Raw genomic sequence first — 23,096 nt, 5'->3', positions numbered from 1 at the left:
CACAACTGGGTCCACCCCAAAATTTAACTGTTGAAGCCCCACATTGGAGGTTAGCAAAATTCCTAACACCCAATGTGACTGTATTTGGGGATAGGGCCTTCAGGGGGGTAATTAAGGATAAATGAGGTGATAACGGTGGGACTCTGACTCAATAGGATTCATATGTCCTTATAAGAAGAGGAAGAGACACCAGATCTCTGTGGGTGTGTGTGTGTGTGTGTGTGTGTGTGTGTCACACAGAAAAGCAGGCATGTGAGGACATGCACGGTGAGAAGGTGGCTATCTACATGCCAGGAAGATAGCCCTCACCAGAAACCAACCTTGGCACCTCGATCTTGGGCTTTCAATTTCCAGAACTCTGAGAAAATGAATTTCTGTTGCTTAAGCCACTGAGTCTGTAGTATTTTGTTTTGACAGTTCAAGCAAACTAATACGCTAGTTATATTAAATAGAATTTACGTAAGCTATGTTTTTTGACCATTTGAAACATAAATGTTAAGAGAAAAGAGTAAGTCACAGACAAATATATACAGTATTTTTATAAATATTTTGGAGATTCAAGATAAAAAAAAAAGTAAACAATCTATCATTTAGGGCCAAAAAAATGTTTGCCATAAAACCATAGAGAATGATAAAAGTAGGGCCAAGTGCGGTGGCTCACACCTGTAATCCCAGGACTTTGGGAGGCTGAGGCAGGTGGATCACTTGAGGTTAGGAGTTTGAGACCAGCCTGGCCAACATGGTGAAACCCCATTTCTACTAAAAATACAAAAATTAGCCGGGCGTGGTGGTGCACACCTGTAATCCCAGCTACTCAGGGGGCTGAGGCATGAGAATCGCTTGAACCCGGGAGGCGGAGGTTGCAAGTGAGCTGAGATTACTCCATTGCACTCCAGCCTGGGAAGAGACTCCATCTCAAAAAAAGCAAAATTCCAGGGAGTGCTTGCTTCAGAGTGAGGGGGATAACAGCTGAGATGAAGGGAGGGTTGCATATTGGTAAAGTGATGTTAAGCAAAAGGTGGCCTCATGGGTGTTAATTTCTTTAGAACATCTCATAATTTTTTGTTTTATATATATTATTTTATATATATTAAGTATTTTAGAATAGAATTTATAAAAGTAAGGTGTTAGAATAACCTAACGCCCATCAGTTCATACTTATTCTTGGGGAGAGGAGAGGGGATAAGGAGCATTTCTACTTTCCAAATCTTAACTTCCTGAATTTTTTTAAATCAACCTAAAATGTTTATATAATATTTGGAATAAAAATGAAAGAAAATTAAAGAAAAAAAGTAAAAAGAAACTACTGAACACTTGTGATTACTTTTATACTTCCTTTAATCTTCCCTCCCACCCTATATATATATATATATATTGTACTAAACTTATTTGAAATGTAAGCTTTGGCTGAAAATAACTTGCCCTCTTTTGAAATGAAAATAATTGCTACAGGGTTGTAATAATAATTCAATCACTGGTTATAGCCTGGTTATAAGGAAAACACCAGGAAACAGACATCCAAGGAAGGAAGTCTCTTATTTCTTTTCATTTCAAGGCAATTTAGGTAAATTACAGACATTTCCCTTTCAGAGCTGAGGACTATCAATAGAATTTTAAGTGTGGTCCATTTATACTAATGTCTTCAATTTAGAACTTCTTGGACCTTACTTTCTTTATGATGCCAGCTTTTAGTTCACATTAAAATAATTTTATGACTAGCAAGTTGCAAAAAGAGAAAAGTGTTTTGTACATGTGGCTTCTATATTTTGGTAGAAGGAGAAATCATTTCAAGGCAATCATTTTCTGTACTTAGTGAATCTCTAATTTCTTTCCTTTTGGCACTGCCAACTGGATAACTAGATAGAAGATAATGGAGTTTGGATATTCAATACAAAACTATTTTCATTCTGTGGAAAATGAAACCACTTTGCAAACTACTATGAAACCACTGCAAAACCACTTTGCCCCACCCTTAAAGGTGTTTCATGCTCCATAATCCTTTAGTACTATTCAATCACTTGTCAGTGGTACTGTATTCCCAGTGTGTGTATGTGTGTGTGGTGGGGTGTGTGTGTGTGCACTTCTATCCATCTGTCTCCTCTACTAAACAGTGAGTTGCTTGAAGGTAAGATAAATGAATTGTGCTCCCCTAAGAAATGCCTGCATTTGCAGTTTGGTCCAAAGACGGTGAATTGCACAAAAGCAATATGTAGGCAGCTTCTTTAGTCCTCAGGTGGAAGCGATAATGGGATGTAGGGAGGTAATGAGACTAAAAATAATCATGAAAATGAGAATGTAAGTGCCACAAGAAATATTCATTCATTCATTCATTCATTCATTTTATCATGTATTATGTGTACCCATTCGGAATCATGTGTTGAGAATATGAAAATAAATCAAGCAAACCCTGACCTGAGAGGAGCTCACACTCCAAGTGGGATAATTCCAAGAAGGAAGTGACTAAAGAGAAATGGAAATACCTCACTGTGAGTTTCTAGGGTGAGAACAAATTTACAGCCACAGATAGATGGGAATGGCACTCGAAGAAGAGGGAACCTCATCAATAAAGGCTTGGACGAGTGAACGTGCAGACTGAGTTTAGGACACAATGGATAGTTAGGTTTGAGAAAGGCAGAGTCCTGAAGTGAAGTACAGTCATCAAGGCAAAAGGCTAAAGGGAACATAGTGTGGAGGGGTTTGCTGAATCACAGAAACCAAGTTGGGGAGTTCAAACTTATTTTAGTGAGCAAAAGAAAAGCCTTACATGTTTTTGAGCAGAGAATTGGCATAAATCTGAGTGGCACTTTGGAAAGAAGAGTTTAGCAACAGTGTTCAAAAGAGACCAAAGAGTAGAAAGGAAACAGGGAATTGTATTCCAAGACTACTGCAATTCAAGCAAGAGCCAGTCAAGGTCTTCAGGATCCATTTGTGATTAAAAACAAAACAAGCCAGGTATAGACTGTACTTTCTTATCTTGACAATAAATATCTACTAAAAACGTAAAGCAAACCTTGTTCTAAGATTAAGAACGAGACAAGGGTTCTAAGTATCACTGATTTTATTTTAAACTGTCCTGCAGGTCCAATCCAATGCAATAAGATAAGAAAAAAGAAAGTAAAAGTCTACATCTGGAAAGAAGGAAACAAAACTGTCATTATTTGAAGAAGAAAAAATTATCTTCATGATATATCTTTCAAAATCTACTGAAAATTTTTTAGAAGACAGTTTAGCAGTGTGGCTGAATGAGCAGATGGACTTAGAAATCTAAGAAGCAGACATAAATCTCTCCATTTTTAAGACAGAGAAGAATAGAGATTAAATAAAGGTTTTTACAAGAAAAGCATCATAATCCTTTCTCTGTGGACAGGTCCATGTGGATTAATAGTACATCTAAACATTCATAAGTGTAGCCTAAGAGGTTTCCAAGTAAATGCACCACACCCTGAGAGGAATGGCACTGCATTCTATGGAAGGTCCTAAACAGCCTTTCAGATGGAAATCACAGCATGACAGAGAAGCCAATTGGGACTTCATACATAATTTGAGATGAATGCAAGGGCAAGCAACAGAGATGGAAAAAATTCTTCCACTTTTAAGTATAGCCCAGGTTTACAGCTCTCTTCTCCTATAGTCGTTCCCAAACTTACGTCTCAGTCTAATCGGTTGCTAATGGGAACAACAAAGCTAGGTATGCTTATTCCATTTACTGCAGGATTGCTGATTCAAAGAGGCAGCCTCCAAGAGGCAGAGAATGAGAGCAACACTTATCACATTTGATTGACATCAAATCCTTTTATCAGGTAATATCTCAAAGAACTAGTGCCTCGGAGAAATTCTAGTTTAGAAAATGCTGTGCACTCAAACATTCTCAATTCCTGGTATGAACCAAAATTTAGGTGCAACATAGCAAATGGTTAAAAGCAAGGATGCTGGAGCCCACTATGCTGGATCCACAACTTACTCTTCTGTGACCTTCAGCAACTTGCTTAACCTCTCTATGCCCAAGTTTCCTCATTTGCAGAATGGCAAGAGGGAAAATGACAAGAGCAGTTACCTCATAGGGTCATACTGAAGATTAAAATGAATGATGCAGTGGCTCATGCCTATAATCCCAGCACTTTGGGAGGCCAAGAGGGATGGATCACCTGAGATCAGGAGTTTGAGACCAGCCTGACCAACATGGTGAAACCCCACCTCTACTAAAAATACAAAAATTAGCCAGGCATGGTGGTGCATGCCTGTAATCCCAGCTACTTCGGAGGCTGAGGCAGGAAAATCGCTTGAACCTGGGAGGTGGAGGTTGCAGTGAGCAGAGATCACGCCATTGCACTCCAGCCTGGGCAACAAGAGTGAGACTCTGTCTCAAAAAAACAAAAAATAAATACAAAATAAAAATAAAATGAATGATTTCATATATGTAAAGCACTTATTTAAGTGTTGTCACTACACTGTTAGAATTACAATATTTCACAAGCGAGGAAGAATATGACTTTGTTGGTGTAAGAAGAAAATTGCTCTGCATGAAATAGGCCCATAAAGGTCTGTGAGAAGAGCAGTAATACATACATTGTCTGCAGTTCTGCTAATCAAGACATTCGACTAATTGATATTTATAGTGCACACATTAATGCCTAGATTTGTGTCTGGTTTGAGGTGACGTGAATAGGAAAAAAATAATAATAAAAAAAAAAAGAAGAAGCAATCCTTAGCCTTAAAAAGGTTGGAGGATTTTCTCTAAATATGGTCCTCCTAAGTATCCACGTTGAAAAGCACCTTTTCTCCAACTTTCCATATTCACTTTCCTGAATAAATTACATCTTCTGGAAGGAAATTTAGTGCTAAAGGAATTTTGCCAATATTAAGCCATTTATAGGATTGTTTTCTACCACCTCTTCCCTCAAAATGATAAGCAAGTTCAACAGACATGAAACTACTACTGTACACTCAGGAGACTCTGAAATATGCAATATCCCAAATGGGACCCACAATGCAAAATTCTTCCAGGGAACATCTATACCAACAGAAAAATGCCTTAAATTACTTTATTATACTTTACTTTTAAAATGTGGCTTAATTTATGCATACTTCATTATATATCAATTCCTTGAAATCTGGTGATCTATATATATAATATATATGATAACCAGTAGCCAGAACAATGTCATCCTCCAACTATTAATTAAATAAGATATTCATATATTTATCCTTTTGGATGCTAAGTCAAGAACACGTAACAGTTGAAACTCATTTGGGCTACCAGCCATAAAACTGTGAAATGCAAACTTCAACAGTACCCGTCCTCATGGGAACCTGAAAAGGGTTATTTGAGGTCAAAAGACACAACATTTAAGGAGAAATGTCTCATGGGAGTATTTCTGATCCAGCTATAGGATAGAGTGGAATACCAACTCAACTAAATCAAATTTCAATTCCTCTAGCCCTCTTTCAAGCCCCTCCACATCCAATCCCCTCCTTTCTAGCAACCTTGCTCTCTCCTCTATACTCAGGCCTCTCAAAAGTGGCTCACATGCTTCCTTGTCCTTTCACACAAAGTGATCACTGCTCTTTTTTTTGTTTAGAGTCAGGGTCTTGCTCTGTTGCCCAGGCTGGAGTGCAGTGGTGCAATCATAGCTACCTGCAGCCTCCAATTCCTGGGCTCAAGTGATCTTCCTGCTTCAGCCTCCCAAGCAGATGGCACTACAGGTACACACGACCATACCTGGCTAATTTTTAAAAATATTCTGTAGAGGCAGGGTCTTGCTATCTTTCCCAGGCTGGAACAGTGATCATCTTGAATACCTTTTCTCCCCTGTAGAAACTGTTATTCCATCTTTCCTTTTTTCTTTGTGCCTTGTGTGTTCTTTAAGTTGTATGCAAAAAGTGTCTCTATTTAAACATTTTAAAAGTTATTATTTATAGCTTATAAATAGGTATAACAGCAGTATAGGTAAATTTTTCACAAACCAGTTAGTTTCTTAAGTAAATGGTACTCAACATGATAGTTAAGGCACCAAAAAGGACCTCTGTATTTGAGTGACTAAACCTACGCAATAAAGAGCAGCATTTTGTACTCAAAATAAATTTTGTAGAAAAGGAAACATGCTGTGTCTTCTAAAGTAAGACAACAAACACACCCAGAAAGGGGGCCCACAGCATTCCTTTCCTCTCTTTTTCCACCGTAATTTCCTCCTCATATTGCTTTTCCTTTTGTTTACCTTACTCAGGTTCTCCTGTCCCAGCCCCTGGGCTTGCCAGTGATGCCCAGAGGATGATGTGCCTGGTGGCTGAGCTCTTCCAGAACTAAAGACGTGCGGATCCCTGAGTATCCATAACCATCAAAGCATGAAGTAATGCCTTGTAAGTGGTGTCACCACACCTCCCAGAAGAAGGATGGATTCCTACCAGAAGCAGTCAAACATAGTGCCGGATCATCTAAGTGAAACGGATCCCCATGGGTGCTGCTATTGGGATACCAAAGGTCTGAAGTTCATCCAATGCAATAGCAGAAATAATTACATCTGTGAGCATGTGAGAAGAACCCTGAGTTAGTCCCAAGTGCAAATCACCATCTCCAACCAATTCCTCCACCAATTGATGGATGTTGGGGAGTGGGGTACAGCAACCCCTCCAAGTCCTTCCTCCCTCTATATAGCCCAGGAGACTCCCCTCCCACCAGCCTGGCCCCCAGAGTGCTGACTGGCAACAATATTCCAAGTTAAAATAGTTTGCTAAATAGTTATACAATTAGTTTACAATTCAAATATATCAGAGGAAAAGACAGGGAAAAAAATTCTAAGATACATGAATCCCAGACCATTGCTCTCCAAATATTTTCAAGTGATTCATCTCCTTTATTTAAAAAATGAATTAACCACCAGATGGGACACTCATACATTCCTGATGGTTGTAGGAATCAGTAGACCCTGTATGGAAAGCAATAGGATAATATTTCATAGGATCAAATTAAAATGTTCACAGCATTGGTTCCAGGAAATTGGCTTCTGGAGAATTTATACTCCAGAAACAATTCAACAAAAGAACACAGCTCTGTGCATGCAGATGCTCATTAGCCCATCACCTAGAGTAAGGGAAAGTGGAGATCCCAATGAACAACAATGAGATGGGTTAGCGAACTGTGACCTATCAGCCCAATGGACATTTAAGCAATCACTGAAAAGTAGAAACATGAAGATATTACACAACATGGAAACTGTTTATGGAGTATATTTAGGTAAAAAGGAAAAAAAGGCAGAACTGTATATCTGTGGTTGGATATACTTTTTTTTTTTTAATATTAAGCACCAACCAAAAGAAGAAAGGAGGATAGAAAAAATAAAATGGAAGATGTAGGGTGGGCAGATTAGGGCTGCGTTTGTTGCTTGCTTTCATGTTACCATCATAGCGTTTTTGCCACTTACAAAGGAGGAAAAAAATCAATTCTGTGCCAACCCAGACAACAGAGACCTGAGTGGGGGTTGGGAAGAGAGATTTTTCAGCACAGAATCAGACTCCTTCTCCAAAGAGCTGTGTGGCCTTCACCTGCAAGGCGACCTCTTCCACAAGCAGAGGCCAGGACAAAAAGAGGCACCTGTGAGCGACAAAGACGGTTTCCTTGGTTTCCCTCACGGCGCCAAGCGGAGTGGCCGCCTCCCACCACAGGGCCCCCTAATGGGCGCTTTTGTCCTGCGGGGCAGAGGGACCTCATTAGAAGGCGCTGGTGCTAAAGGGAAATGCATTTCCAGAACAGGAGGTTTCATCATTCCTAGCGTTAGCGACAGAATGGTGACAGAAGGTAAGTGGCAGATTTGCATCACGGCGTCGCTCCTCGCCTGGAAATTGGAAACAGGCCGCCTGCAGAGGCGACCCCCGAGGAGCCGCGAGCCTGGAGCACCTTCCCGGGGCCGGCGACTGGGGGCCCCTTCCGGGGCAGCCAGGCACCAGGGCGGCAGGCAGCATGCCACCTCTCAGAGACCAGGCGCCCGTGTCGCCTCTGGGGGTTCTCAATGTCACCCACTACGAACGCATCTCAAACCCGCTGCCGCAAATGGCTTGCACGTACTTAATTGCTGCGGTGCTCAGCGGGGACCCGCGGGGTCGCAGCCCTTGCTGCGGGGGTAAGGGGTAGTGATAGGGGCGGGGAGGGTCCAGCCTCCAGCACACATTCTTTTTCGCATCTTTCCTCAACAACATTCAAAACGCAAACATGTAAAGCAGCTACGGAGAAGTGCAAAGTAACCGAAGCGTACTACTAGCGTGGGGAGGGCGGGAAGGGGGCGTAGGGTGAAAAACTACCTACTGGGTACTATGGTCCCTGCCTGGGTGCAAGATACCCAAGTAACAAACCTGCACATGTACCCCCTCCATCGAAAATGGAAGTTGAATTTAAAAAAAAAAAAAGCAAATTTTACATTTTCTAAGCAGATTCCTACCCCAGCTTCAAAGTAAGAATCAAATTGTCCCTCTGCCTGAGGTTTCCCTGAATAGAATCGAATGTGCTTTCTCTGTTTGGCTCCACCCATGTTTTCTTTCCACTTGTCTTTGGGCACTGATACGAAGCGATTTTTTTAAATTTGCTTTCCCCCAATTGGACTTAGGTTATTGATAGCGGGGATCTTGTCTTATCATAGTAAATCCATGATGCTTAGGACTGAGCTTAGCACACAATAGACTCTCCATATATCAAAGTGAAACTGAAATAAAGGCAAAAAAAAAAATCAGAATATCACATCTAAATGTTAGAGCCGTGCTGTCCAAGAAAAATACAATGCCAACCACAAATGTGAGCCACACATGTAATTTTAAATTTTCTAGCAGCCTCATTAAAAGAAGTACAAAGAAAGAGGTGAAATTCATTTTATTAATAACTTACTTAACCTAACATATCCAAAATACTATCATTTCAACATGTAATGAATATTTTTAAATATTAGTAAAATATTTTACTTTTTGTGTACTAAGTCTTTGAAATTTGATGGCTATTTTATACCTACTGCTTATCCCAATTTGACTACCTACATTACAGGTGCCCAGTAGTCACGTGCAGCTACCATTTGGACAGCGCAATGTTACTAAGGAAGTAGCTATCAAAGAGGTGTATATTTTCCCCCTTTCAAACTCTTTTGGATAAATGTCTAGACCAGAAAACATTGTTTCAAACAGATCCTCAAGCCAGTCTTTACCAAGAGCCATATTTATTAAGAAAATTTTAAAAAACACATGAGCAAGCAAGTGCTGTTACTCTAGGATATATCCTAGGGGAGTCTGGGTGTTTTTTCTCCCGCTTGTTTGAACAGATAATTAGCAGGTTGTGTTTTTTAGTGAAGTAATTAATTATTCTGGAACAGCTAACTACTTCCTTCCCTTCTAAAGTCTACTTTACAACAAATATCATATAAACAAACAATTAGTAGTTAGAGGGATTTGATGCTATCATGATGACATTAGTACCAGGGACCCAGTGCCAGAAGCCTCCCCTAACAGCCTCTTCCATGCTGGGTGGGCAAGTCTGATCTACACAAGAATAGTGATACTCCAGGTATCCAAGCACCACCTAGGTAGGTCACCCAAACCTGTCATCCCAATACGGAACCTGGCCAAAGACCCAGGTGAGGAGGCTTATGTGGAGTCTTCCCATTTCCTTACCTTCCCACCCAACATCCTGCAGCCTAACCTATTCTAAATCTTAAGACCAGCCCAGTTGGGCCTGAATCTGTGGAGCCAGCTGAACTTATCCCCTCAGCAGCATTCAGAGAGGAGAGAAAAAAGTCGGCCCTGGAAGCCATCCCAGGAAACCAGACCCTACAGAGGTCAGCCTGTCACAGAGGGCAGATGCAGGAAGGAACTGACAGCCTCACTCGGGATCCTGCCCACCAGGAACCAGGACTGGAAGAGGTTTGGATACTGACCAGATTGGCATTTGTCCCTGACTATGGGACAAGAGGTGGCTGTAAAAGGGGAACAAAAGTCCCTTCCCCCATGACTATCCAAAGTTTCTAATATCGATGGAGTTGTTATGTGCCCAGATTCCCAGGTGAAAATCAATAATCTCTTAGGAGTGAGGTGCCAGACAGGTTGTTCAGAGAAAAACTATGATATAATCTCCTCAGAGAATTGAAGCCGACTGCTTGGCAAAATAAGACCTGGAAATGGGAGAGACCAGTAAAAGACTAAGCCTGACAAAGGAAGAGTCCCACCATGTGTCAATACAGAATTGTGTAACGAACATCTTCAAATAAAATGCTTCTAAAATACTATTAGTGATCTGCAGCTCTTAAGAACATACCCTGCAGCCAAAGATGCTAAAGGCATAAATCACCGGGGTTTGTTTTTTATTTGCACTTTTCCTCCAACTCCATCTCCCTTCAAAAGTTTTTCTTTAATGAGAAGAGGAATATGAAACATAAAAAGAGAACTACAAACCTTTTTCGTTAAAATACTGTGTTGTGCTGAATTCTGCTCTCACATATATGCTTTCTTTTCAGCTCTGTGGACGTATTTTCCAGCGTTCAGTTCACATCAAGGATGGGTATGCACTGGCGGAAAAGGTAATATGCAATACACCTAGACACACTTAAGAGGATTGCTCCAAATGTAGTTGATGGCGATCTAATAAGACAGGGTTCTGAAGACAAATGAGACGCATTTGCCTGTTTCCCTGACGCTTACACAAGCTAAGGCAAGGTGAAGCAGCAGCAGGGAGAAGGCCACAGAGCAGGAAGCTCTTTAAATAGCTTTCCAGGTGACCCTGACACACTGGCACTGGTGGATTACAAAGGATAATTGGGATATGACTGGGCCGGGCACGGTGGCTCACGCCTATAATCCTAGCACTTTGGGAGGCCAAGGCAGGTGGATTGCTCGAGCTCAGGAGTTTGAATCCAGCCTGGGCAACATGGTGAAACCCCGTCTCTACTAAAATACAAAAAATTAGTCAAGCATGATGGCACGCGCCTGTAATCCCAGCTACTAGGGAGGCTGAGAATTGCTTGAACCTGGGAGGCGGAGGTTGCAGTGAGTGGAGGCGGAGGTTGCAGTGAGCCAAGATCGTGCCATTGCACTCCAGCCTGGGAGACAGAGTGAGAATCCGTCTCAAAAAAAAAAAAAAAAACAATTAGGACATGGCCATTGTGAGGGGGGGATAGGCTGGGAATCTTGCTTAGCCCTGATGGCCCCGTGTGTGCTTCTACCACCACACCTGACTCTACACTAGACAAGTCTATCATGGCAAAAGGCTCCTCTTGTTTCAAGGTCAACATGTATGAGCATTTCTTTCTCCTTGCTGGAAATGAACAGTACCTAGCCTTCTGATTTGAACAAACCAACTGCAAGAAGAAAAGTAGAACTGCCTGGGTATTTGATAGTAAGGAATTACTGTTAATATTTTATGTGTGATAGTGTTATTGTGGTTATGTTAAAATTAAAGAGATACATATTGAAGTTTGTGGATCAAAAGATATGAGATGTTAAGATTTCGCTTTAAAGCAATCTAGTGAGGTTGGAGAGAAAGGTTAGGAGAGTATACAAAAAATAAGATTGGCCATTTGCTGATCATGGTTAAAACTGGTTGATAAGTACTTTTTTTATTCTTTCTACTTTGGTGTATGTTTGAAATTTTATATAATAAATTTTCTAAAAGAGTCTAGGAATCAAGGGGGGAGAGAAAAAGCAGTCCTGTCTAAGGCTTCTCTGAGGGGGCTGTTTTTTTCCTTTCTCAGCTTACCATTGCCCAGAAGATATCACAGGCCATTCAATGTGAGCACCAAGAAGAAAGGGTATATCCATCCTATTTTTCTCTAAGACTACAGTCTTGGCCTCTGTCTCTGTCTGCCTCCAGAGAGAGATTTAGCTTTTGATCACCTCCAACAAACAACATCCTTTAGGATATTGAAACTGACAAAAGACAGCCTACAAAATCCTATGGTTTACATTAAAAGTCTGAAGGCATTGCCATGTTCCGGATCTGGGGGTTAACAGTGCATGACGAAGCACATACCCTCAGTAAGAATTTAATTTAGCTCGAATATGAAGGGATGCTTTATGAGACAAACTGGCAGCAGTTCCATGGGGTGAGCAGAGAAGTGAGACTATAAAACAGAAGACAATTTGCTATTTCTAAATTGCTCCCTCTCAAAAACTGTGGTGGGTGTCTTAAAATCATCTCGTATATCCTTTTACCCAGTAATCTCAATTCTAGGAATGTATTCTAACAAAATAATTGGGCAAGTCCACAAGGAGGTATGTGGACTACTGTTTATATCATGCCTTTGTTTATAATAGGAAAAAAAAACCAACAGAAAAACAAAGGTCCATCAGTAGGAAATAAAGTATTGATTAGGCATATAATGAAATTATATGCAACTTTTAGAATGCTGAAAAAGTATAGTACATTAGACTTCAGACATCAGCATTTAGTTTAGTATACTATACTATTAAGTAAAACAGTTTTAAAATAGATTTTATAAAATATCTTTGTTTTAAAACAAAGTGTGTTGTAAGAATAGAAAAGAACTAGAATATACAATAAAATGTTAATTATCGTGTTTTCTGGTTAGTAAAATTAAATGTAATTTTTTTTTTTTGAGACAGAGTCTCGTTCTTTCGCCCAGGCTGGAGTGCAGTGGCACGATCTCAGCTCACTGCAAGCTCCACCTCCCAGGTTCACACCATTCTCCTGCCTCAGCCTCCCAAGTAGCTGGGACTACAGGTGCCCGCCACCATGCCTGGCTAATTTTTTGTATTTTTAGTAGAGACAGGGTTTCACCATGTTAGCCAGGATGGTCTCGATCTCCTGACCTCATGATCCACCCACCTCGGCCTCCCAAAGTGCTGGGATTACAGGTGTGAGCCACTGCGCCTGGCCAAAATGTAATTTTTACCTTCTTTATGATTTTTTGCATGGTCTAAATTTTCTTCACTGAGCAGGCAACATATTGGGACCCCCACATATACAAAAAGAAGCTATTTATTTTAAGAGAATAATAACAAAACCATAAAGATGTCTAAAGGAGGAAAGACAAATTGCCAGAGCTGGACAGAGGTCAAAGTGACAATCCAAGCAAATAACCCCAAACTCTGACAGCCAAGGAGGGTCAGCACCCTTTCACTTTTTTCAAAAGACGTCTTATACTGAGCAACTACTCTGTTCTAGGCCTTGTTCCGGGTCTTGGAGACAGAAATAAATGGGACACAATTTCCTGCCCTCAAGGTTTTCAGCCTAATTGGAGGAAAGGACAGATTTACCAAATAAATGAAATGCTCTACTGGGGAAGGGCAAAGTACAGTGATGCTTAGGGGGAAGGGGCTGATTCCACCTGGCTGGCAGAATGGGGAGACAGGGGCTGATCAGAAAAAGTGTCAGAGGAGGTATTGTGGGCTGAGAGTCTAAAGGCGAATGGATGCCCTTCCAAAGCTCACAGGCCATGCAGGTGAGCTTTGAGGACAGTCTCCCCAGGCATTTGGGTTGATGTGAGCAGCTGAGGGAAAAGGGATGGGCATTGAGCAGCCTAATCTTCTTGAGGGGGAACAGAAGCACAGATGAAATATGGGGTGAGGAGTAAGGCTAGGGAGTAGGCAGGCCCACAGTATGGAGGGCCTGGAATGCCCCTACTGAAGCATCTGGTTTCCAACCTGAGGGCACAGGGGAACCTCTGAAGGGTCTGCACCTTCCCAAGATTAATCAGCCGGACAACAGTGTAGAGAAGTAAGCACTACTGGGCCTTATCTGGATGCCTGCCGTGGACTAGCCACTGGGCTTAGCACACAACGGCCCTAGACAGTGGAGAGTGTTGTTATCTCTATTTTACGGGTGAGAAAACTGGAACTCAGCGTGGTTTAGGAATTTGCCCAAGTTCTCACAGATAAGAAGTGGCAGAGCTCAGAGCTCAGAGTTCATCCTGGCTATCTGACTCACCCTCAGGTTCGGTGCTGTGAAGACGCCACGGTGAATCTAAAATAGTTTTCTCCCGAGTTCTCCATGATATTTACAAACAACCTCAAACTCAACCACTCAATTCCTACTAAGAGGAACTTGGTTGACGTGCAGCAAATGGGTTATGGGGAGAGCTTTCTCAGCCACAAAATTAGAACTTTATGAAAAAAAACCTGGAAGAAAGTAAGGTGAGACTGGATCTGTCAAGGGGCTTTATTTTTTTGAACTCAAGAGAAACCATTAGGGAGTAGGCAATTTGTTTTTGCTTTTTTTTACATAAGTAGACACAGGTGGGAAACTGTTTAGACGGGCTCACATCACCCCATAAACAAATAGGTTTGGTCCTAGCCTTTCTATTAGCTCTTAGTAAGATTACACATGCAAGCATCCCCATTCCAGTGAGTTCACCCTCTAAATCACCACGATGATTTAGAGGTAAGGACTAAAGGGAAATCAAAGGTAGGGGGAGGTTTCCAACTGTGAATGGGAAGAAGAGCTGAGAATGGAAAACATCATTAAATAGGGGAGTCGGGCCAGACAAGCACAGGTGAGGCAGAGGGAAGTCTCCAGTGATACCCAAGTTATTTACAGAAATGCAGAAATTGGCATTTATGGAGTCGTGATTTCAGGCAGGGAAAGGGGGAAAAAAAACCTTCAGTCAAGATACATTTACTAAGCAATTACACAACTACAGTAAAGGAGACAAAAATTTAATTAAAAAAAGAAAAAGAAAAAGCTACATGGGAAGATATACACACGCACACGCACACACAAACATGCATGATCACAAAGGAACAGCTAACGTAGTCTAGAGCTAAATGAAATATGAGTTTTGCCTTCAAGGATAGTTAGAAATACCAGAAATAGATGAAAACAGTGGGTATTCCAACCAGGAGAATGGGGTGAACAAATGCCTAAGAAATGGTAATGCAAGAAGGGTTTTCAGGGGATAGCCAGAAGGGGCACTAATTTGTGGGGCCAAAGCTAATGTTGACATGAGGAAGGTCACCAAGGGAACAGGAGACATAGGAGGTAATCAGCGCCTATTGAGCATTTTCTCTGTGCCAGACACTCTCTCACCACTTCATTTCATTTCATCCAAATGACCCTGTGAGGTAAGTAATTATTATCTGCACTTTCAATACAAGAAAACTCATGCCCAGGAAAGCTCAGCAACTTGAAAAAAAAAAAAAAAAACTAGGTTTTTTTTTAGCTAGTGAATCTACACTCGGTTTTGTCTCACCCTTCCTGCTACCTCTACCCACCCCATTCACTGACTGTGTGCCTACTGTGAATAGTGAGTGGCCTCAGTGACACACGCCAGATTACAGCTCTCTATGATGTTCCCTCAGTCCATGATTTCACAGGGTACATGTGAAGGAAACCACTAACCCATTTCAGGTGATATAAACATCTCTGAATTTAGGGCACAGAGGAATGAAGAACTGATACATCCTGACACTACTAGACTAGAATGCACTTAGACAAAGTGACTAAATAAACTTACTTTGGTTTAAAATGTTACTGCTTTTAGATGGAAATGCAAATTGGTACAACCACTTTAGAAAACAGTTTGGCAGTTTCTTACAGAGTTAACCGTATGGTTACTTTACAACCCAGCAATCCCATTCCTGGATATTTACCCAAGAGAAATAAAAATGTATACTCACACAGAACCTATATGCAAAGGTTTATAGCAGCTTTATTCATAATCATACCAAACTGGAAACAAGCCGAGCATGGTGGCTCATGCCTATAATCCCAGCACTTTGGGAGGCCAAGGCAGGTGGATCACCTGAAGTCAGGAGTTCAAGACCAGCCTGGCCAACATGGTGAAACCCCATCTCTACTAAAAATACAAAAATTAGCTGAATGTGGTGGCACACGCCTGTAGTCCCAGCTACCTGGGAGGCTGAGGCAGGAGAATTGCTTGAACCCAGGAGGCAGAGGTTGCGATAAGCCAGGGTCACACCACTGCACTCCAGCCTGGGTGACAGAGCAAGACTCAGTCTCAAAGAAAAAAAAAAAAGTGGTATTACTGCGTGTAAATTTGAAAAAATTGTTTTAATGTTATTGCTTTGGAAGACCATTACTGTGGAAAGAAGAAAAGTTTTAAGGTGTAGCTGTATTTCTTCACTTAATCTCTAAAATCCTAACTCAGGCGCGGATTTGGTCTCCAGGCCCCTTCCCCATCCATCTACTGCCAAGAAATAATCTAAGCTTCTGAAGACTGGGGCCACTTTCCAGCTTAGGGTTTGTGGCTGATGTTTTGCTCTGGCTCTTAGGCCCTCAGGAGGAAGCACTCATCTTTAACAAGACCTGCTTTCTCAGGACTGCAAACAAGAGAAAAGCCCAATAAGAGGAAAGTGAAGTGTGAAAATCCATTTCAAAGAACTTTACTGAGAACTCACCATGTCAGAGAGCTTCCATTAATACAGTTGCTTCAAAACCAATAGGCAGAACCCAAAGTAATGGATGACTCACCAGGACTTTTAGCAGCTAATGGAGTACTCTGAGAAATGCTGTAAATCCAATATTTTTGCTGAAAAATTAATGTGTTATGGGAGGGAGCCTCTTTTCTAATCACTTACCCACCCCCACCCTCTACTTCTAGTTCACCATCAGCATCTTTAGCTCTTCTAATTTTTGCCAAAGCTGAATGCAGTTCTTTCCCAATTTTCTTATATCATTTTAAGTATTATATATGCTATCTTACCAGGCCCACTCAGAGAAACAGCACTTATCTTTAAAATTATTTTTTAACTACTCCCCACAGCCTACGGCCAATAAAAACTCTGTAAACTATGTTAAATATACCAAAGTAAAGTTTCCAGAATTCACAGAGAGATCGATAAATATTTACTAAGTGCCTTCTACAGACAAAGCCCTGGGAAGTATAAAGGAGCAAAACATGCACAGTTCTTGTCTCTAAACATGGCTTACAATGTCATTAGGCATATGACCAAAGCTAATAATAATCCAAGGCAAAAAACTTGGGAGATCATATACAAAACAAATGCTATAGGAGTTCAAAGTGGGGAAAGACTGTGGCTGGTGTGGTCAGAGAAAGACAGCTTTGCACAAAGCTGAAAAACTGCAGGAGTGATGGAGAACATTTCTCCCAAACAGGACATTTTCATAAAAGAGAAATCTAGAAACTCCACCTGTAAAATCTCTTTCTTGGAATATATCTCCATAACAAACAGAACTTTAAGGGAAAAAATGACCCCAGTTTCAAAAACACAAAGAATTTCTGGGATTCTGAATTTGGACTAACAGATAACTCCACCAAAATTCATTCTTTACTTGTCTCTGTTTGAAGGTGACATATTTCTGGATGATCTGGGCTTCTTTGGTCATCCACAGTCTGTGCCCCTAGAACTAAGGAAGGTTGTGTACATCTCAGACAGTTTTCACTTGCAACTGAGCCATGTCAGCCGGCTCCAACTGAATTGACTTGGGACCATTCTACTCATTGCATATGGCATGATACAGACTGCCAGAACCCTCATTTCCTTTAGTGCCACATTATCAATTAGGAATGGGAAGGATCCTGGCACATGCCAACCCAACTCCCAAACCCTTCAGTATCTGGCAGTCTTCTATTCTGTACATGCACTCACCAAAATATACATAAACGAATGTTCATAGCAGCACTAGCCATATTAGCCCCAAACCGGAAACTATCCAAATATCCATCAACAGTCAGTAGACAAATTGTAGTATATTCATATCATGGAATACTACAAAACAATGAGGATGAATTTGACAAGCATAACACTTAATCCCAAGAAACCACACACAAAAGAGAACATACTCTATGGTTTTATGTAATATAAAGTTAAAAAGAAACAAGCAAAACTAATAGCATCAGAAGTGAGAATCATGGTTACCCTGAAGCAGGGGGATTTAGGGACTGGAAGGGCCACAAGGGGGATTTCTAGGGTCCCAAAATGTCTGTTTCTTAGTCTGTGAGGTGGTTACAGGGAGCATTTACTTTATGAAAAGTCATCCAACTGTATACTTATGATAACAGTTTTCTATATGAATGCTTCATTTCAATAAAAAGTTTACCTTAGAAAAACTGAAAACTGTTGTATTAAAGGATTATAGTAGGATGAGCAAAACTTACTTTACGGTTGAAAAGCAATGTGTATATTCACATCTATGATTTTTATTTAAACTTCTTATTTAATATGGTGACTTGGTTTTAATTTGTTTAGCCACTAATATATGTTTATTTAGATAAGGAAATATATACTCATAGCAATGTCATATTAAAGAAGGATAATTCTAAAATTAAGGAGCTCTGCCTTGCATACAGGTCAAGGAAGATGATTTATTACTTCATTTCATTGGTTCTGGAAGAAGAAGAGGAGGAGAAGGGAGAGGGGAGAGGGGAAAGGGGATGGGGGAGGAGGGAGGAGGGGAGAAGAAAAACTTCTTCAGGCTCTTCAAAACCTCTGGGAAAAAAATAGGGTTGCCAGAACATGTTCCAGTACTGCACAATTATTTGTTTAAAAATTGTTACAAGCCAAGGGGCAGGGACTAGATGTCCCCAGTAACTCCCACTCTATCTAAACCACAGCCTGGCTCAGAAAGTAGCAGATCAGGCTGTAGGCAGATACTGGCTGAGAGCTGTAAACCAAATAAGTCACTAACTGCCCCAGGTACTGCCTATGTATATGTCACTAACACTTATCTGCCATTAACTGCAGAATTTCCTTCCTCATCAATAATCGTAGCTTATATCTTCTCTGCAAGTTTAACACTAAACAGAGAGAAAACCCCGCTTTCCTGCCCTCATAGGTCAGCTCGCAGAATGATCGCCCATCCACACAGCGTTTGGAGGTCAGACGTTCCTGATGACTGTGAAAATGGGGAGGTGAGAAGAGGTCGTCAAAGGGAGCAGCCTTTTAAAGCCAGGTACAGGTTAAAGCCCTGAGGCCAGAGCCTTGCCCAGGCTCCTCTAGCGTGGAGAGCTCCCGCCTTACGGTACAGCTGGCACCTGCTGGTCCCCAGGGCCCTTCGCTGCGACTGCGGCAGACAACCTTGGCAAAGATGCTGGGGACCGCCCGGGCTGGAAAACGTCGGCCTCTGGCGCTTGAGAAAGGCCAGGCGGACTCCTGCAATACCCTCGGTAAACTGTCACCTGTCAATCACTTGACCTAAATACACCAGCCACTGGAGGAAGGGGAGGAGGGGGTTAGTCGGAGCATGCTCAGTGATCAGGATGACATCACTTAATCAATGCTGGGGACGGGAAGGCTGCATCAGCAGCCTGGAGCAGGCTGCCAGGAACGTGTCAGCGGGGACCGGGAGGCTCCCATTAACTCGGTCCCTCCCCACGCGGCTCGCATACAAAGGGGGCACCATCAGCCACACACGCTACGGACAGCGGGCGGGGAAGGGGCGGGGGACCGAGCTGGTTTGTTTCATCTGACAGATTCCTTTAAGAACTACAATCCATTGGTGTTCCCTCCCCCTACCAGCAGCCCCAGCTGCAGAGAGGGAGCTAAGTAGGGGGAGGGGGTGGGGGAGAAAAGGTGGGGAAGGGAGATAGAGAGGGAGGGGGGTCCGAGCCGCACGAAGTAACTTCTGCTCTTGGCACAGGGGGCTACTGCGCTCTGAGCCCCCTCGCCCCACAGATGTGGACACAGCCTCCTCTCCACCCAGCGTGAGGCGCATCAGAGGGTCTGCAGACATGGGAGGGAGGTCATCCCAGAGGGGAGGGATCAAGCCGGGACTCCACATCCAGGGCAGCCAGGCGTGAGAGGAAGCGGGAGACACACCAGGCCTCCAGGGGACACCGAGGCCACCAGTACTCCCCCAACCCTCCGCCTTCCGCGCGCGGAGCCAGGTGTAACACCGCGGGGAGCCGCGTCTACACTGCCGCGGGAGCTCCGAGACGCGACTAGAAATTTTCCTGTACCCCTTTTTCTTTCTTTTTTGCTAGGGTCGTGAGAAGAAGAGGCAAGGCGTTTGGTAAATCGAATTGATTGATGCCCAGAAGCATTTGCGGGTTGCAGAGCTCACACTTTAAAGGGGGCCTGGGCACCCGGCTTGAGGGTCACCCGAACACACTACCCACGCGGCGAGGCGAGCGTGGGGAACAATGGGCCCACCCGGGCCCCCACCCGGCGAACAATGGCGGCGCCGAGCCCGTCTTCGCCCCCCATCCCCACCCCCGCCACCCCCGCCCGGCCCGCCGCTCCCGGCCGCCTCTCCACCCGCCCGGGAGGGAACCATAGTGCGCGGGGCGAGGGGTCTCTGGTCAGGTCCACCCGAGAGGCCAGCCCCGCGGGAATGTCCGAGGGGGCGGCCTAAACACCTCCGCTGCGTCTGGGGCGTCGGGGCGCCCAGCTGCGGCGCGGAGCAGCAGGGAAGGCAGACGCCCCAGCCACTTACCCCGATCACCACGGTCTCATCGCCTTTAAATTTGGGGATGAATTTGTCCCCGCGGAGGATCTCCGCTTCGTTGAGGGGCCGGAACCGGCACATCACTTTGATGCTGCATTCGGCTGGATCCGCCATCTCGGCCGGCGGTAGGGAGGGGGCACGGGGATGGGTGGGGGGCCGGGGCCGGGAACGACGAGGGAGGAGGCCGCGAGCTGCACCGCCCACAGCTAGGCCGCCTCCTGCAGCCTCCGACGACGCTTCTCAGCAGGTCATCGCGAGCCCGGCCGGCTGAGCAGCCCCGGCCGCTCCGAGCCCGGGAAGGTGGGCAGCTTCTCCGCTCCGGCCCCTCCGGCTGCAGACCGGCCTGCCCTGGCCCTGCCCCGCCCCTGCCCAGCGCCCCCCGGCCCACCTGCCCGCGACCACGCGGCGGGCGGAGGAGGCGATGCGCAGGGAGCGAGCCTCGCCCGGCTCAGACCTCCCGGGCTCCTGCGCGCTCAGCCATCCTGCATCAGCACCAGCGCGCTCTGCCGCCTTGAGACCCGCCCCTCCGCCCCGCCCTCCCCTGGCCCGCCCCGGGACGGTGACGTCACCGTAGAGGTCCGCCCGGCCCCCGCCCGACTCCGAGCGCTGCGCATCCCGGGACTTGTAGTCACTCTACCTGCCGGGGGAAGGACAGGATGCGACCTCCAAGAGCCTGCAAGTCCGGTCTGGCTGCCCAAGCCGGAACCGGATGGAGGTCATATCCAATATTTCCGGTTAAAATCTCTAGATAACTGGGTCTGGATCATCCTGATCCCAAAAGAAAATCACTTGGGAAACAGCTCCCAATAGCCCCTGGGTTTCATCCTTCAACTTCTACCACTAGATAAGGATGGATGTCTGTTCAGAGTTTGGGTTTGATTGGCCTTGGTTTAGGTTGGCATCTAGTGCTAAACCAATCAACCAGAATCAGGGATTTTGTAAGATTATGGAGGAATCCCTTGGTGGGAAGGTTCCCAAAAGAAGAGGGATGGTATTCCCAGACATGGTGCCGGGCTGGCAGAACAACTGAGTGTCCACTCTATTTTTCCAGAACTTCCTTTTCCTCTAAGACCTAGCTCAACCCTCCTTCCTCAGACTTTCCCAGCTCACTAAACACCTATAAAGAGTTGGTGGCCCTCCTTGATGTTCCCCTAATCTGCTGTGCCTGTCTCTAGCACTGCACTTGGGTGGTGATATCTGCTTGATATCTTTGTGTCTGTAGCATCTAGCACATAGTGGGCAGCATACTGAATAAGGATTCTACCCTAGGAAGAAGCAATGCATGAGTGTGAATCCCACCTCAGCCACTTATTAGATGTATGACCAACAGGCGGAGGAAATTAAGAGCGGAGGAAATTAAGAAGTCTTAATTTCCTTAAGACTCAGTTTCCTCATCTCTGTCATTGGAATAATATCATCTTGTGATTTCTGGGGGAATTAAAAGACAGATGCTTTTAAAGCACCTAGCACGGTGCCTGACATGTATATAGGATAAGCTCTTGAAAGTTAGATGTTATTGGGTGCTGAACAAATGATCATAAAACAAATAAGTTAGTTAATTTTAGGAACACATCTGTTGCTTAAATTCGGGTAATACCTGAAAATACAAGTGTTCTCTGCCTAGCTGAGAGGACAGACCTACTAAAATCAACTTTTATAAACCCTTGTAAGTAGTACCAGTTCTATTTCATCTCCTCATGTGCAGTGGAAGTAGATTAAAAAGACCCAGGTGCCACCTTCTCATCTGTTTTTAAATTAAGTAATTCTCAGGCTCTGGCTCAGAGACCCATCATCTTAAATGATCAACTTCATAATATACTAGAGAGGACAATCCAATTCTCAGTTTCCCTGAGCCCACCAGAAGATGCCCAGAACCTTGCATACACTGGTTTATCTGAGGAGGTCAGGATTATCTCAAGTGGACAGAGACGTATCTGTGTGTCACTGTGTTCAGTCATCATTCATTCGTTCATCTGTTCATTCATCAGCTATTAACTGAGCAAATGGCATTTGCTGTCACTCTGTAAACTTAGATTTATTAAGTGAACCCTTTTCAAGGGAGATAACGTAGGGCCTCTCATTTGAAGGGAGGTTGCAAAATAAGTCATCGCCCTCAGGCAGCTTAGAAACTAGTGGGAGTACAGAGGATGAAGTTCTCAGTGTTGTCTGAGAAGGCTTAATATAGGAAATGGGCTAAGTAGGATTCAAAACAATTGAAAAGGGACACCAAAAGATAGGTAACAGGCCGGGCGCCGTGGCTCACGCATGTTAATCCCAGCACTTTGGGAGGCTGAGATGGGTGGATCACTTGAGGTCAGGAGTTTGAGACCAGCCTGACCAACCTGGTGAAACCTGGTCTCTACTAAGAATACAAAAATTAGCCAGGCATGGTGGCACGTGCCTGTAATTCCAGCTAATCTGGCGACTGAGGCAGAAGAATCGCTTGAACCCAGGAGGCAGAGATTGCAGTGAGCCAGGATTGTGCCTCTGCACTCCAACCTGGGCGACAGAGTGAGTCTCCATCTCAGGGAAAAAAAAAAAAAAGATAGGTAACAGAAGAAAAAACAGATAAATTTAACTACATCAAAATTAAAACTTTTGCACATCAAAGGATGCTATGAACAGAGTGAGAAGGCAGCTCATGAAATGGGAAAAAATTTGCAAATAATACATCTGATAAGGAGTTAATATACAGAATATATAAAGAATACCTATAACTCACAACCAAAAAAAAATTTTAAAAATGGGC

At 43.6% G+C, this 23,096-nt stretch overlaps 1 protein-coding gene and 1 long non-coding RNA gene across 3 annotated transcripts in view, besides 4 other annotated features; one reads left to right on the top strand and one right to left on the bottom strand.

Moving 5' to 3' along the window:
• KIF5C (kinesin family member 5C) overlaps positions 1 to 20,852 on the bottom strand; it is a 151,533-nt gene extending 130,681 nt beyond the window's left edge. For both annotated transcript variants that reach the window (NM_004522.3, XM_017004062.2), the window contains exon 1: positions 20,336 to 20,852. In NM_004522.3, coding sequence (NP_004513.1) covers positions 20,336 to 20,461 — 126 coding nt within the window. In that variant the 5' untranslated portion in view covers positions 20,462 to 20,852. The remainder of the gene's footprint in view (positions 1 to 20,335) is intronic.
• KIF5C-AS1 (KIF5C antisense RNA 1) lies at positions 1,065 to 23,082 on the top strand. The gene is made up of 4 exons (XR_001739733.2): positions 1,065 to 7,792; positions 10,482 to 10,544; positions 18,737 to 19,067; positions 19,884 to 23,082. It is a non-coding gene; the product is annotated as a KIF5C antisense RNA 1 (long non-coding RNA).
• Positions 7,279 to 7,874: an enhancer, noted in NCBI's record as "H3K4me1 hESC enhancer chr2:149645774-149646369 (GRCh37/hg19 assembly coordinates)". NCBI's record gives its function as "activates a minimal SCP1, AML or CMV promoter by ChIP-STARR-seq in primed H9 embryonic stem cells {active_cell/tissue: H9 hESC(primed)}" and the evidence as "EXISTENCE:reporter gene assay evidence [ECO:0000049][PMID:30033119]".
• Positions 19,028 to 19,607: an enhancer, noted in NCBI's record as "H3K27ac-H3K4me1 hESC enhancer chr2:149634041-149634620 (GRCh37/hg19 assembly coordinates)". NCBI's record gives its function as "activates a minimal SCP1, AML or CMV promoter by ChIP-STARR-seq in primed H9 embryonic stem cells {active_cell/tissue: H9 hESC(primed)}" and the evidence as "EXISTENCE:reporter gene assay evidence [ECO:0000049][PMID:30033119]".
• Positions 19,608 to 20,186: an enhancer, noted in NCBI's record as "H3K27ac-H3K4me1 hESC enhancer chr2:149633462-149634040 (GRCh37/hg19 assembly coordinates)". NCBI's record gives its function as "activates a minimal SCP1, AML or CMV promoter by ChIP-STARR-seq in primed H9 embryonic stem cells {active_cell/tissue: H9 hESC(primed)}" and the evidence as "EXISTENCE:reporter gene assay evidence [ECO:0000049][PMID:30033119]".
• Positions 20,559 to 21,028: a silencer, noted in NCBI's record as "silent region_12001". NCBI's record gives its function as "represses an Ori minimal core promoter by ATAC-STARR-seq in GM12878 lymphoblastoid cells {active_cell/tissue: GM12878}" and the evidence as "EXISTENCE:reporter gene assay evidence [ECO:0000049][PMID:35858748]".

The sequence above is a fragment of the Homo sapiens genome, chromosome 2, assembly GCF_000001405.40.
Source record: "Homo sapiens chromosome 2, GRCh38.p14 Primary Assembly".
In the NCBI taxonomy this organism is placed as follows: domain Eukaryota; kingdom Metazoa; phylum Chordata; class Mammalia; order Primates; family Hominidae; genus Homo; species Homo sapiens.
This window is presented reverse-complemented; position numbering and strand designations above follow the sequence as displayed.